Source organism: Homo sapiens, chromosome 14, assembly GCF_000001405.40.
Source record: "Homo sapiens chromosome 14, GRCh38.p14 Primary Assembly".
NCBI classification, from domain to species: Eukaryota; Metazoa; Chordata; class Mammalia; order Primates; family Hominidae; genus Homo; species Homo sapiens.
In genome coordinates this window covers 100,482,143-100,497,082 of record NC_000014.9, presented here as the reverse complement: position 1 = coordinate 100,497,082, position 14,940 = coordinate 100,482,143, and the positions used below count along the sequence as shown (strand labels likewise).

The 14,940-nt window shown below is 44.9% G+C and overlaps 1 protein-coding gene and 1 pseudogene across 7 annotated transcripts in view; both read right to left on the bottom strand.

Annotated features, from left to right (window-relative positions):
- Positions 1–14,940, bottom strand: part of WDR25 (WD repeat domain 25) — a 153,819-nt gene that overhangs the window by 33,221 nt on the left and 105,658 nt on the right. For all 7 annotated transcript variants that reach the window (NM_001350947.2, NM_024515.6, NM_001350948.2 and 4 more), the window contains one exon: positions 12,959–13,089. In NM_001350947.2, coding sequence (NP_001337876.1) covers positions 12,959–13,089 — 131 coding nt within the window. The remainder of the gene's footprint in view (positions 1–12,958; positions 13,090–14,940) is intronic.
- Positions 9,296–9,539, bottom strand: RN7SKP92 (RN7SK pseudogene 92; annotated as a pseudogene).

Here is a 14,940-nt window from a genome sequence, read left to right as displayed (position 1 = left end):
TTAAACTAGAAATTAATGATAGAAAGCTATCTTCCAGCCTGACCAATACGGTGAAACCCCATCTCTATTAAATACAAAAATTAGCCAGGCGTGGTGGCACATGCCTGTAGTCCCAGCTATTCTGGAGACTGAGGCATGAGAATTGCTTGAATCCAGGAGGCAGACTTTGCAGTAAGCCAAAATCATACCACTACACTCCAGCCTAAGGGACAGAGCAAGACTCTGTCTCCAAAAAAAAAAAAAAAAAAAAAAAAGAATTAAAGAAAAAAAGAAAAAGAAAAATCTGGCAAATCTCCAGATGTTTCCACATGCTTGGAAACTGAACAATACACTTCTAAATAGCCCACATGTCAAAGAGAAAGTCTAAAGAAAATTAGAAAGTATTTGTAATTGGATTAAAATTAAAATACAGCCAGTATATTATAACTAAAATTTGTGGGATATAGATGAAGTAGTGCTGAGAGGAAAATGTGTAGCATTAAAATGTTTATATTAAAAAAGATCTCAAATCAATGGCCTAACTTGCCTCCTTAAGAAATCAGAAAAAGAAGGGCAAATTAAATCCAAAGCAAGCAGACAGAAGAAAATAAAAATTGGAGCAGAAATTAAGGAAGTAGAAAAACAATAGAGAAAATCAGTATTTCTTTGAAATGATCAGTAAGATTGATAAAACTCTAGTCACAATGACTGAGTAAAAAGACACAAATACCATTATCAGGAATGAAAGAGGAGACATCACTACAGGCTCTAAAAATATCAAAAGAAAAAGAGAATATTACAAATCAGTGTATGTACATTAAGTTTCACAACTTAGATAAAATGAACCAATTCTTTGAGGCATGCAACTACCAAGTCTCACTCATGAAGACATATACAATCTGAATAGTTCTATATCAAACCTCAAAGAGATCAAACGAGACCACTTTGTACCCACTAGGATACGTATAATATAAAAGACAAGTAAGAACAAGTGCTGGTGAGGATATGGAAAAATCAGAACCCTCACACATTGTTGGTGGGAATATAAAATGGTGCAACCACTTTGGAAAACAGTCTAGCAGTTTCTCAAAAGATTACACATAAAAACAGCTACCAACCATATGACTTTGCAATTCTACTTCTAGGAAGAACCATGAGAAATGAAAACATATATCCACACAAAGACTTACAAACAAATGTCCAAAAATGGAAACAATGCAAACGTCCATCACCTAGAGAATGGAGAAACAAAATGTGTATATCCATACAATGGAATATTATTTGGTCATAAAAAGAAGCAGAAGACTTCCTGTTAATGGTCTGGCAGGTAAGGAGCTTATAAATCAAAACTCTGTCCTAGCAAGTAAAAAGCTGAACAAACTGGAAAACTCTTCTCAGATCCACAAAAGAAGTGAGATCGTAAGGCAAACCACTGCCCCCAAAACTGGAGACATAGATAGGTGAATAAACAATCACAATGCATTGGAGCAGAAATTTCCACAGGAACCAGGGCCAGAAAACTGAATTATAATTGACAAATTGCTAGAGGCTCATTGTGGACAAGTCAGAGAGATTAAAAACTCTGGAAGACCTGATCATCAGTGGCCCCCAAAATTTTGTGCATTTTACCTCCAGGAGCTACCAGGTTCTCACAGTGAAGACTGGAGAAAATCCCCTTATGTTTCCAGCAGAAGGAGAAAAAGAACTACTTTGGGTTTTTTGGTTTTTTTGTTTGTTTGTTTGTTTTTGAGACGGAGTCTCACCCTGTCACCCAGACTGGATACAATGACACGGTCTCAGCTCACTGCAACCTCCGCTTCCAGGGTTCAAACCATTATCCTGCCTCAGCCTCCCAAGTAGCTGGGATTATAGGTGCCTGCCACCACTCCCAGCTAATTTTCATATTTTTAGTAGAGAGACAGAGTTTCACCATGTTGACCAGGCTGGTCTCAAACTCCTGACCTTGTGATCCGCCCTCCTCGGCCTCCCAAAGTGCTGGGATTACAGGCGTGAGCCACCACGCCCAGCCAGAACTACTTTAAAATATAACAGAGCATTCTGTTCTTCTTTTATGTATTTATCTTTGTAGAGTCAGGATCTTGCTATGTTGTTTGTTTGTTTGTTTTTGTAGAGTCATGATCTCGCTATGTTGCCCAGGCTGCTCTCTAACTCCTGGCCTCAAGCAATCCTCCTGCCTCAGCCTCCTAAAGTGCATTCTGCTCTTAATGAGGTCTGTACTGCAGAGAAACTAGTTAGCCAGAGTCTAACCTGCTGGGTTTATCACAGCCTAGCTGACCTTGGGGAAGGGGAATACCCAACCGCCACTGGCTCCCGCCTTCCACATGGGAGAAGGGAAACGCCCAATTCCTTCCCCTCTAGCCTTCTATGTGGAGGAAGAAAACACCCAGGTCCAGCCCATTCTAGCTGTCCTGTCCTATTTAAAGGGGAGAGGGGACTAAGAAGTACATGTGAGCTCACAGTCCAGAAGCAGACTCTCTAAAAGACTAACCTAGCCACAAGACACTTCCCCACCACCCTGACACTACACCACATTACTAAAGTCCTTTTTATAGCAGTTCCTTTTACCTAGCTCATCTTGTCTGGCTAGCAAGAAAGAATTGTAAGGCATAATAAAAGGCAAAAAACATAGCTTGAAGAGCAAGTATCAGAACTAGACTCAAATATGGCAGTGATGACGGAATTATCAGGCTGCAAATTTAAAACAACTATAATCAACATGCTAAGGGCTCTAATGGAAAAAGTAGACAATACGCAAAAACAGAAGGGCACTGTAAGCAAACAGATAGAAATTCTAAGAAAAGACCAAAAATAACTGCTTGAGATCAAAAGCACTGTAACAAAAATAAAGAACACTGCACTGCTAGGTGTAGTGGCTCACGCCTATAATCCTAACACTTTTAGGAGGCCAAGGTGGGAGGATCCCTTGAGCCCAGGACATTGAGGCTGCAGTAAGCTGTGATCACAGCATTGCATTCCAGCCTGGGAGAGAGTGTGAGACCCTGTCTCCAAAAACAAGAAATAAAAATTGAAGAATGCTTTTTATGAGTTTAGTAGCATGGATACAGCTGAGGAAAGAATCTTTGAGCTTGAGGATATCTCAACAGAGACAGATCTGGTGTCTGGTGAAGGCACTCTTGCAGGTTTGCAAACAGTCATCTGTCTTCTCACCATATCCTCACGTGGTGGAGAGAGATTCATCTCTCTCGTGTCTCTTCTTACAGGGGTACTATCCCCAGTTCTATGGGCTCCACCCTCATGTCCTAATTACCACCCAATGACTCCGCCTCCTAATATCATCACATTAGGGATTAGGGCCTCAACATATGAATTTTGGGGAGGACACAAACAGTCAGTCTATTGTACATGTCATTAAACATTTGTCCAAACCCATAGAATGTACAACATCAAAAGTGAACCCTAACGTAAACTATAAACTCTGAGTGACAACGATGTGTCACTGTGGGTTCACCATCTGTAACAGATGGGCCACTCTGATGCAGAATGATTATGGGGAGGTTGTGCATAAGAATGGGCAGAGGGCAAGTGGGAAATCTCTAGCCCTTCTGCTAAATTTTTTCTGTGAACATAAAACTCCTCTAAAAAATAAAGTCTAATTTTAAAAAAAACATAAAGGAGTGAAGTCCTGATATAGGCTACAATGTGAATGAATCTTGAAAACATTATGTTAAGCGAAAGAAGCCAGTTACAAAAGACCATTTATATAAAATGTTCATAACAGACAAATCTATACAGACAGAGTAGATTTATGGTTGCCAGGGGCTGGGGCACTGGGGGGATAGGCATGGCTGCTAAAAAACGTGGTTTCTTTTTGGGGTGAGGAAAATGTTCTCAACCGACTGCTGTGGCTGCATAACCCTGCAAACACACTAAGAACTGAGTGAATGAGTGAATGAGTGAGTTGTACAATACAGAATAAATCTGTTACCAAAAAACATTTAATGAGTATTTACTTTAGGCCCAATGTGGTGGCTCACACTTGTAATCCCAGCACTTTGGGCTGACGCAGGAGAATCGCTTGAGGCCAGGAGTTCAAGACCAGCCTGCGCAACATAGTGAGACCCTTCTCTACAGAAAATTTAAAAATTAGCCAGGCATGGTGGCAGGCGCCTGTAGTCCCAGCTACTAGAGAAGCTGAGGCTGGAGGATACCTTGAGCCCAGGAGTTCGAGGATGCAGTGAGATATGATAATGCCACTGCACTCCAGCCTGGGTGACAGAATGAGACCATGTCTCTAAAGAAATTTTTTTAGTTAAAGTATATTAAGACAAAAAAATAACTAAGGCATCAAGCCCATGACTTTTTTGGACACTATTAGTTATGGCAAGGCTAAAATAAGTTTTCAAGTACAAGAATTGTAAATCAATAGTAAAAAAAAATAAATAAATTTTTAAAAACCTTAAGAAGAAGCATGTTCAGTGCAGCACAGAGCTTATTTTAGTGGCAATATGTATTATAGAAGATTTATAAATTAGAATTACAGAAACATCATATTTATAGAATCAGCACAGGTCCAAAGAACCTGCTTTATATTTTCTGAAACTGCCTGCTGCATTTTTAAGGGCAAAAATTATCAAGTGGGGTGGGTGTTAATGAAAGTCTTGGAACATCGCCCTCTTGAGTGCCATGGGCCTCCCACTGTCATCCACTGAGCTTGTTGGCAGCTCATGGGTTTTAAACAGGGGTCTTCTTACACAGTCCCAGTGAAAGTGGTGCAGAGGGAGGCTGAAGAGGAGGACTGGGTTGCAGGGCAGGTCTCTGAGGTTCCAGATTCTGGGAACCAATTGCCCACTTCTGCCTAAGACTTTAGACAACCCAGGGAACACACAGGGACTCCCCAGCCAATTGTGAAGGCAGCCAGTGAAGCTGATGGATCCACTGAATATTGAGAGAAACAGATGTTTTCAGCAGTCCCTTCTACAGCTTTAGGGCATGCGCCATCTAACTGGATTTTGTTGCCCCATGCCCTGGGACAATGCCTGGTTTCTGGTGGGGGCTCAGAAAATGTTTGTGACATGGATAAATGAAATGCGTCCTCTTCCTGCAATAGGGAGAAGCAGAAATTAGAGGAAGACCTGGGTTCAGATCCAATCCCGTCAATGGCTGCCTACCCTGCACAGACAGCTGAACCTTTCAGAACCAGTTTCCTTGCCAATATTTTGGGGGCAGGAAGGCTGCTCTCACAGATACGTTGGGTTCTGTTTTCAGGCCTGAGGTTACAGGGCTGTGGTCCCTCAGAACAAAACCCACCACTGTCCCATCCATGGCCAGGTCCTGACACCAGGCACGGAGCTGCACATGGCAGTGCTCAGTGAGCATGTGAATGCCAGGGCTGTCCATGCAGGCTTCTCCAAGAACAAAACGCACAGCCCTCACTGATAAATATTTAGTCATGTGTTGCTTAACGACAGGGATACAGTCTGGGAAATGCGTCATCAGGCGATTTTGTCATTGCGTGAACATCATGCGCTTACACGAACCTCGACGGTATAGCCTGCGACACATCTAAGCTAGAGGTCTAGCCTATGGCTCCTAGGCTATACATTTGGACAGCATGTGATTGTACTGAACACTGCAGGTGATCACTAGGTGACAGGAATTTTTCAGCTTCACTATAATCTTACAGGACCATTGTCCTATATATGGTCTGACATTGACCGAAACGTCATTATGTGGTGCATGACTGTATGTTCATTCAAGACTAAAGCTGAATTCACACTGTGAACAAGAGGATCTGTGAGGGTTTGGGCATCAAACCACCCCCAGTTCACAGTCTTGCCCCACTACCAACTGGCCGTGTGCTTGTGGTGTGTAACTGAGCCCTTCCGAGCCTCAGGGCCCTGACAGAGGAAGGGGATGGTGGCAGCACCCAGTCCACCTCCCAAGAGGCCACGAGGAAATGAGCCATGGCGCACACAGCGTGCACAGCGTGATGCCTGCAGGAGGCACACTGTGGTCAGCACTGGCTGCTGAAAGGGGCTCTCGAGATCATCAGGGGCTCCACCACGTCCCCAGTTGACAGATGAGGAAATGGGAGCCAAGAAAGACAAGGAACAGCCTCGGGTCCTACATCTTTGCCTCCATTAGGCTCCTACTCTCATCTGCATTCAAAGTTTAGCTTGCAGCAAAGCTTAGTCAGGACTGTGGAAAGCACAAAAAGTCCAAATAAAAAGCCTTTTTAATATAAAACAGATGAAAGAGACAAATGGAGAGTAATCAAAATCTCATTAAGGCAAATAAGCAACTTGCCTACAATGCCACAAAACTGATGGCACTTTGAGCCAAGTAGACGAAGCCATCTCTCAGATGGCCACCATCACAGGAGTGCAAATCTCAAAGACAGTCTCACCCACTGGGGCAGAAGCCCCACAGAAACCACTCTGAATTTTCACTAGGCACCCATACCATGGCCCCCAAATCTGGCTATACATTAGAATCACCTGCAGAGTTTTCAAAAACCTGGAGGCCTAGGCCACCCTGGGCAGCAATAGTTTCTAATGCTCCCTGGGTAGCTCTGGCCCGTGCCCTAGATCAGTCAGGTCAGGCCAGCCCAGCCACCACCTGCTGCTTTACCAGTTCCTATTACTATCATCCTGAGATCACTCCCATCCAAGGAAGGATGCCCACAGGAGGGGAAGGAGATAAGCAAATTAATGACAGTGGCTCAGCCTCCGTTCAACTGGCCAGGATAATTGCTTGTGATTTTAAGAACTGGTCTTGATTAGAGCTATCAGTCATTCATGCGACAGTTTGCGCCCTTCCTGCCTCCCCTCCCTCCCTACTATGTGCTTAGCACTATGCTGGATGCTGGGAATACCATGGTAAATGAGGCACAACTCTTTCCCTCAGGGAGTCCACATGCTACCAGAATGCTACAGCATACTAGTGATGGGCTAGGATCATAGGAAGCTGAGCTGAGGGCCCACACAGGCCCAAGGGTGAGCCACCCACTCCCCTGTCACCTGCATGTTAGGACACGTGCCTGCAGAGGGTGTGGGACAAAGCTAGAGAAGGAGGTCAAGAAACCAAGTCAAGATCTGGAAGTCAAAATGTCCCTTTACAAATTTAAAAATAATAATAAAAGTAGGAAGAAAAGATGTAGAACAAGCATGAAATATTGACGATTAGTGTCAATGTGACACCAGGGTATGCTGGAGAAAGTGAGCTGGCCTGTCAGAGCTGGTTTTATCATGAGAGTCCCAGAGCGAGCAGAGAATCGGGGTTTTAGAGGTGCAGCCTTCTCTGGAGGAGTAAAGTTGGCAGATCTGAATGCATCTGCAACTCTTTTTCTCAGGCGCAGAGTAGGAGCTAGACAACAAAAGAACCACTCGACCCCTAGCCTGCCCAATGTCACCCTGCACATAGAAAGAGAGGAGGAACTGGGGCAGAGTCCAGGCTGCCAGCTGCAGGAGCCACATGTCCTAGATTTTCCAGGGCTGCTCCAATTTCCAGTGTTCAATCTTGCCTTAACTGAGAGGTAATTTGCTGAGGTTGGGGTTCCATAATGTAGTCCTGCAAAAAAGGTGATTCACCAAATTTGCTATATAAGCTTTCTTAACAAATCTGATTCATATTACAAAAGGAGAATTTATTTTTATTACTTATCCTAACTTTTGGTTCAAAATACATAGTCATCTTAAAGTGAACTTGAAAGTGGCTCTACCTTGGAACATTCCCCACACTGCTAGAGGGCCCAGTACAGCTGAGTCCGTGTCACAGGCTTCTCCTGCAATTCTACAGCTTCCATTCTGTGCTGGGCACAGAGCCACAGCACCGCAAAGCTGGAAATGCAAGAGACTCATAACTCTGTTATCCACCAAACACCGGGGAGCAGAGGAGCTCAGCCTCAGTGGAGAACTACAGTGCTTTGATGGCCACACCATATCTCATCTGACACAGGGTCTCCCAAGTCCTCCTGCCTCTGTCCACACTTCTGGAATGACTCACTACAGCTGAATTCCAGCTAGCCTTCATATCCCATTTGTCAGAGGGGCCATGCCCTCTATGTCGATCCCAGGGTGGCCACTGCCCCTGAGGTTGTGGGCAGGTGGGTGCTCCTGCAGGCCTCTATCACAATGACAGTGGCGGCTGACCCCATCAGCTCACTCCAGGTTATCCTGAACACCTGCTCTGGTCCAGGCCCTGTCGGGGATGCCAGGCACAGAGGTGACTCAGGCTCCCACACCAAGCGGCTGTAAATAAACACCTGTGGATAAAAGTGCCCACAGATCAAGAGTGATCGTTGTCCCTGAGATAGGTCACAGATGGTGCAGGCTAATTGAGGATAAGGTTCAAATGAGAGAAGCAAGGGACTTTTAACTTCAGAGGCCCTTTGGTCCCTAGCTTCTCAAAATGTGGTCCATATACTATCCTCCCCTTCATTTCCTGGGAGCTTGTTAGAAATGCAGGATCTTATCCCAACCTGGACCTGCTGAAACAGAATCTGCATCCTAACAAGAGCCCAGGTGCTCTCCTACACAGGTGAGTTTGAGAAACGCTACTTTGGAGGCGTGGCTTGGCCTGCCACTTTACGATACCAATTTAAAAATTGTGAATCAGAGAGGCTTTTGCTTAAGGAATGTGGCCGAAATCACCCAGCCAAGCAAGTAGCAGAGGGAGGACGTGAGCCCAGGTCTCCTGCAGCTCAGGCCAACGGCACTAGAGGCTCAGGGGCTTCTGCAGAAATTGACCCTCACAATACTATAAAGGTCAGACCACAGGCATCCTGGGTTCCAGACCACACCCATGTTCAAGCAGACTGCTGGGAGGAAGAGGGGTCAGAGGATGCTGCAGCAGCGGCAGGAAGCCAGTTTCAAGTAAGTACGCACAGCTGGCTTGTGCAGAACACATCCTGCCGACCTCTGGAGATGAAGTCAGGCACTTTGCACTAATGAGATGTGCTACAAACATCAAACCCGAGGCGGAGAGATCACCCAAGATCACCAAGAAGAGGAGACAGGGAGCCAAACAGCCCATTTGCTGTAATGAATTGGGCTAGACTAGAGAAGTCCAGAATCTTGACACTTAGCACTTGGCTACGTTTAAGGAATCATAAAATCTCATGACTGGAAAGTAACTAAAAAGTTGTATGTTCCAACTACTCACTGTGCCCTAAGATCCCAGGGAGAGGTTGTCTGGCCTCACTCCCCTCAGTTCTGTTGGCAGAAACCTACTCCTTACCTTCACAATGTAGGCTTGCTTTGACCCAGAAATTTTCATTCTGAGATTCAAGCTTAAGGAAATAAATCCCAAATGTGGAAAAAGCTATATGCAAAAAGATGTTTCTTACAGTGGAATGTGTAATAAAGTCAACCTTGATAGTTTGTTTGGAGATTGTAACAAGAGAGAGAAACAACTTATACACCCCTGACTGAAGGAACAGTTCCCACTTGGAAAACACATTCTCTGAGCACCTGGTTTCTGCAAGGAACACAGAATGGGGTAAGACACCCAACTTGTCAGCCAGCTCAGGAGGATTAGTCCTGACAATCAATAGGGTGACAGATGTCAGAATCACATCTCTCTTTACCAAGGTCAGCCAGATCTTAAATATCTTTGGTTTTGTGGGCTATGTGGTCTCTGTTGCAATGAGTCCACTCTGCTACTGTAGTATAAAAGCAGCCACAGATGATACATAAATGAGTATAGCTGTGTTCCAATAAACCTTTATTTACAAAAACTGGCAGCAAGCTGGACTAGCCTTAGGCTATAGTTTGCTGACTGCTGGTCTCTGTCCTCACATCTATTAATTTTAAATGGCAAAAGTTTTTTAAATCTCCTACATGTCTAATGCAGGGAAATGGTTTAATATGTTAAAGCATTCATCTGATTCATTTGATCCATAGATACTTACTGAGTTCCTGCCTATGCCAGACATTGTTCTGAGTCCTGGGGAGAAGCAAGGCAGTGAGTCAGGAACACCCTGAGTCAAAGGAATATGACTGACGACCTTACGAGGGTCTGCACTAACAAAGAATATCCTTCTAATGCTACATGAAAAGCAAAACACAAAATTGCGTATACAAATAAAACCAAATAGTGCTTTTATAATTTTTTTAAAAACCACAAGAGGAAAAAAAAACAGAAAGAAGAATATCAAAATGTTGCTAATGTTTACCTTTGGCTGCTTGGACTCCCCCTCCTCTCTTTACCTGAATTTCCCAATGTTATCATATGATTCTGTATTACTTTTACAACAAAACATTCCTTCCCTACTGTATTTAAAAGGGAAGGCCTGTCTTGGTTTAAGCTAAGGTCTGTGTCCCTCCTACTTACACCTGCGATTCCCACCGCGGTCCCTGAAAGCAGCTGGAAAAAGCCAAGCTGCTCACTTCTGGATGTTCACATACACGCCCAGGCTGAGCCAGAAGGTTCAGCACCTGGGACAGCGCCACAGGAGCCCACAGGGATAAGAAGTGAGCAGCCCCAGGCGGGAGTCCCTGGAGGGCAGGGGGCTGTGCCTCCTCCCTGGTCCTCCTGCCGAGTCCATTTGAGACACATGGGCAACACCTGTCTAAGCAGGAAAGAGTGTTGTCCCCTGAGCCCAACTGATGCAAACGGAACGAGCCCCGTGACCCAGTGGGGGAGGATTGTTGGTAGAAAGGAAGTAAAAACAAATACTGCACAGATCCCTTAGCCACATTACTATCTTGGGAGAGACTCGCAAACATGCCAACACCAGTCACAGCAACATCTGCTTCTAATTGCTTCTCCCCCAGCATTTTCAGAGCTCGTCAGCTGGCATCTGCCCTGGGAAAAAATCCGGTATTTTTAACAAATGCTTAAATCAGATGGCGTCCTTGGTGAGTAATTTCTTACGTGTTTGGTCTTTGAGGCTAAAAACAGTAAGCGCACCCATAAGGGACGTGGTTGTCAGGAGTGGCTGGGTGCTCAGGAGGTCCCACTTCAAACGGTATGACTAAGAGTTTCCAGTTCACAAGGCACGTTCAAATGTTTTCTTTCACTTGTCATGTATTTAGATCCTAAATATAACGTGTTTTGGCGGTTTTTTTTTTTTAATGCCACTGTGTCCACTTCTTTATGGGTAATTTCCTCCCTTTTCCAAATATTTTTATAAGAAAGTTCCTTTGTAAAAGAAAAATGTGTGATTTTTTTTTAAAGACTACATCTATCTATGCTCCCACTTGTGAGTACTTTAAGCAAGATCTCATGTACAGACAAAACTTCCCATTCTCTGTCAAGAAAAGTCTCTGCATTTAGGCTCTCCTCAACAAACCAGCAGCCCCTTCCAACTGCCTGTCAGGAAAGGGTCTTCCGGTGCCAGCCAGTCTGAAGCAAGAAGGCAAATTTGGAATCTAGGCCTTGGGGGCTCTGTCTCACCCTCCTCCCTCTGGAACACATGGACAGCCTCTACTCAGGACATATCTGCTTGGACGCTGCACCTGTCTAGGACCAAGGCAGATGTTCACAAACCTCCCGTGGCTCCCCACTGTTGAGACCAAGACACACAGCGTTGAAAGACTCTCTGCCCAGGCCACCTCGCTGTGTGAAGCCCACGCCTAGCCAAGTCCCCATAGACATCCTGTGTTCCCACCTCCTGTATCTGCCCTGTCTGCATGACTGCCTTCCTCTGGCATTTACTCAGTCAATCATGATTCACACAGTGCCAACTATGTGCCAGGCACTGTTTTAGAAGCTAGATGTCAGCAGCAAACAAAACTCTCTGCCTTCAAAGAGCTTACATTCTAGAGGAGGGAAACAGGCAGATGAATGAACACATAAAATCCATAATATGTCAGGTGATGGTAAATGCTATGGAGAGAAATGAGATAGCAGAGGGGACTAGCGGATGCTAGTGGGTTTTGGGCAGGGGGCACCTCACCGAGAGGTAATATGTGAGCAGAGCCCCATGACAGGGGGCAGCAAGCCTCTACTTAGGAAACAGGCAGAAGAGCCTTCCAGGCAGAGGGAGCAGCAGGTGCAAAGGCCCTGAGACAGGAATGTGCTGGTATGTTCAGGGAAGGCAAGGAGCCTAGTGGGGCTGGCACTGATGAGAAATGCTGACCTACCCCCAGGCCAAGGAGGATCATTTAGGCCTTGTGGATCATCAGAGACATTGGCTTTTACTGTAAGATCAGAGCCTGGAGGATTCTGATGAGAGGAGTGACATGTCTGAGTCACACTGTAACAGACCAGTCTAGCGGCTGTGTTGAGAACAGCCTCCAAGGGGCAAGGGGGAAAGTGAGAGATCAGATGGGAAACTCCTGCAACCATCCCAGCGAGAGACAATAGCAGAGCTACAACAGCTGATGTGGGGAAAAATGTCCAAGTTTTGGAGAATTTGCTAATGGTTTGGGTATGGGAATGTGATGCAAAGAGCAGAGACAGGGCTAATTCTGATGTTTTTGGCCTGAACAACTAGGGTGGAGCTGCCATCTAGTAAGTGGTGATGGTAAAAGGCACAGCAGGTTGTAATAAAGGATGGGGATGGAAATCACAACCAGCCTTTAAGACTGAGGAAAAGTGATTCCTCTAAGAAGTCTTCCCACAGCAAGCTAAAAGCACTTACCCCCTCCCTTCCTCTCGCAAGCATGCAAACAAGTGCGCACACACACACACGCACACACACACACACACACACCAATTCTCTGTACCAAAGTCATCTGTACCCGCACATTATTCCCTTGAGTAACCCAGCAGATTCATTTTATATCATCTGGAAGCATTTGTGCACAGTAGGTGTTCAACAAATATTTTTAGTAATATGCTGCATAAAATTGCACCTTTGATATTTTAAGTCTGACAACTCAAGAATGTTCTTTCAAAACATCTAAAAATTATGCTTAGCACTGATTAAATATTAAGTGGTAATTATTCCACCTCAAGGGTCCTATATATAGATGCTGACCTGCCCCCAATTATTCAAATTGTCGAAACAAGCTCTCCTGTGGAAAGGCCAAGTTAGGAATATGGCTATTACCTTGCCAGTCCTTATATCCCAAGCTTTCATTTCAGAGCTGAAGCCTCCACATAAAAAGATGTTGTGGTCTTTTGGATGGAATTTCAAGGTAGTGATTCTAAAGTCACTTCGACCACTAAATAGCTGGGTTCCTACAACACAAAAAGAGAAGAGAGGGTTAGAAAGTACTTAGGTCACAAAACAAATATCTTAAAACTAAGATGCCATCTGGTATGGGGCTCATAGCAAACACAGCTCCCCTGGGCCCGATGTAGCCCAATGGACACTTTTTGGAAATATGACAGCGGTGGCAGCAAGATTTGCCCTTATTCTCTGTTTCTCTGGCCAGCCCACCCTTGACTAGCTGAACATCCCCTCCCCCTGGGCTGAGCTTAGATGGGTGGATTGATGAGTGCACCTTTCACATTTGCTGTAAGCATGACATGCATTAGCTCATATAAACCATGCAACGACCCTATGCCCACCTAACAGCCAAAAACCAAGCCCAGGGAGGTCATGGAACATTTCCAAGGCTCTACAGTTAATACAGTAGATTATTTATCTGGGAGTCTAAAAACCAAAAACAGGATTGTTCTAAGGTGATACTTTTCAGAATCAGCCACTTTATAATAATGGATGAATGGTTTGCTATGGAGCATGGCAGGTGGGGTGGCCTGAGATGCTGGGCGATAAATGAGAGTGGCCATCATGGTGGCCCAAGCACAGATTGGACAGGGTGGTGTGGGCCATTGGGGGTCTCACTGGCTCTACAGGACACAACGCAGTCCTTGTCCTTTATAAATACATCATAAACTGTTGTCAAGCATTTATGTGCATTAGGTAAGTGTCTGTGTATGTACATATATATACGTATGGTGTGGAAAACGTCTTTTTTATCACTATGATCTTTTAGAGGTAAGCTATATAAACTTCAAAAACATCAATCATTTGGAGCAGGTCAAAGCTGGTCCTCCTTCCACTGCCCAGTGCAGCCCCCATGTCCCAGAGCACTGGCTGTCATTCTTGTCTGTCCACACCTCATCCATCTGAAACTGCATCAAGAAGGCAGACTGGCCTTGGGGAGGTGTTCTCACTGTGGGAGTCTCTGAGTGCCACCCCCGTATATGTCCCCCACAGGCAGGGCTCACACACCAGGCACAGCAGCTGCCCCACGCCACCCAGCCAGAAACATGGAGGAGGCTTCGCTCAGAGGTGCCACAAGGGCTCCCACAGCGCAGGAGGAAGAACCTTGACTGCCTTGTACCCGTAGAAACTCCCCCATGGGACTGAGCAGTGGGCTACTTAGGGACACGGGAAGCTGGTGGCGAAGAAGACCATGAAGACACCGAGGTCTCAAGCATCATTTCCACTCACGGGAACCCAGGAAGCAGCACTTGCTCATTCAATTCAGAAAGCACAAAAGGTTGCCCTGCTTTGTGTTCTGTGACCCCCACACATTAGTGAAGGGCTCTACCAGCTCACCAGGTGTGGAAATGAAAGTACTCATGACAGTCACATGAGTACTCATGACAGTCCCAGCAGAAGGCTTTCACAGACCCAATCTGCCTAGATCCATGGTCTCCAAGCTATTATAGTTTGACAGTACGCCCCATCCATGAAAAACCTAAGGCACATACCACCAATATATAGATATCTGTGTTAAGTTGAATAATGTGCCTCTGTACCAACATATTATAAACATTTTTTAAAAACCAAAAATAGAACTCTTTAAAGGATGATGCAAGGATAAAAGTCAATATTTTAAAATATATTTTAATATACCCTTATTAAGAGAATCAATGAACCTCTCTGAAATCATCTGAGTTATGTAATACTATTTTTAGTGAGAGCAACAGAATTGAATATGCTTCCATTTTTCTTAATGTAGGGAACTTTTTGTGATTCAGTTATTTGAATGTAGTCTGGTTGCAAGTAGGTTCAGTTTATCCACTGAACTCTATCAAAGCCGACAAAGTTTCTTGCACGCAGAGATGCCCGGACCT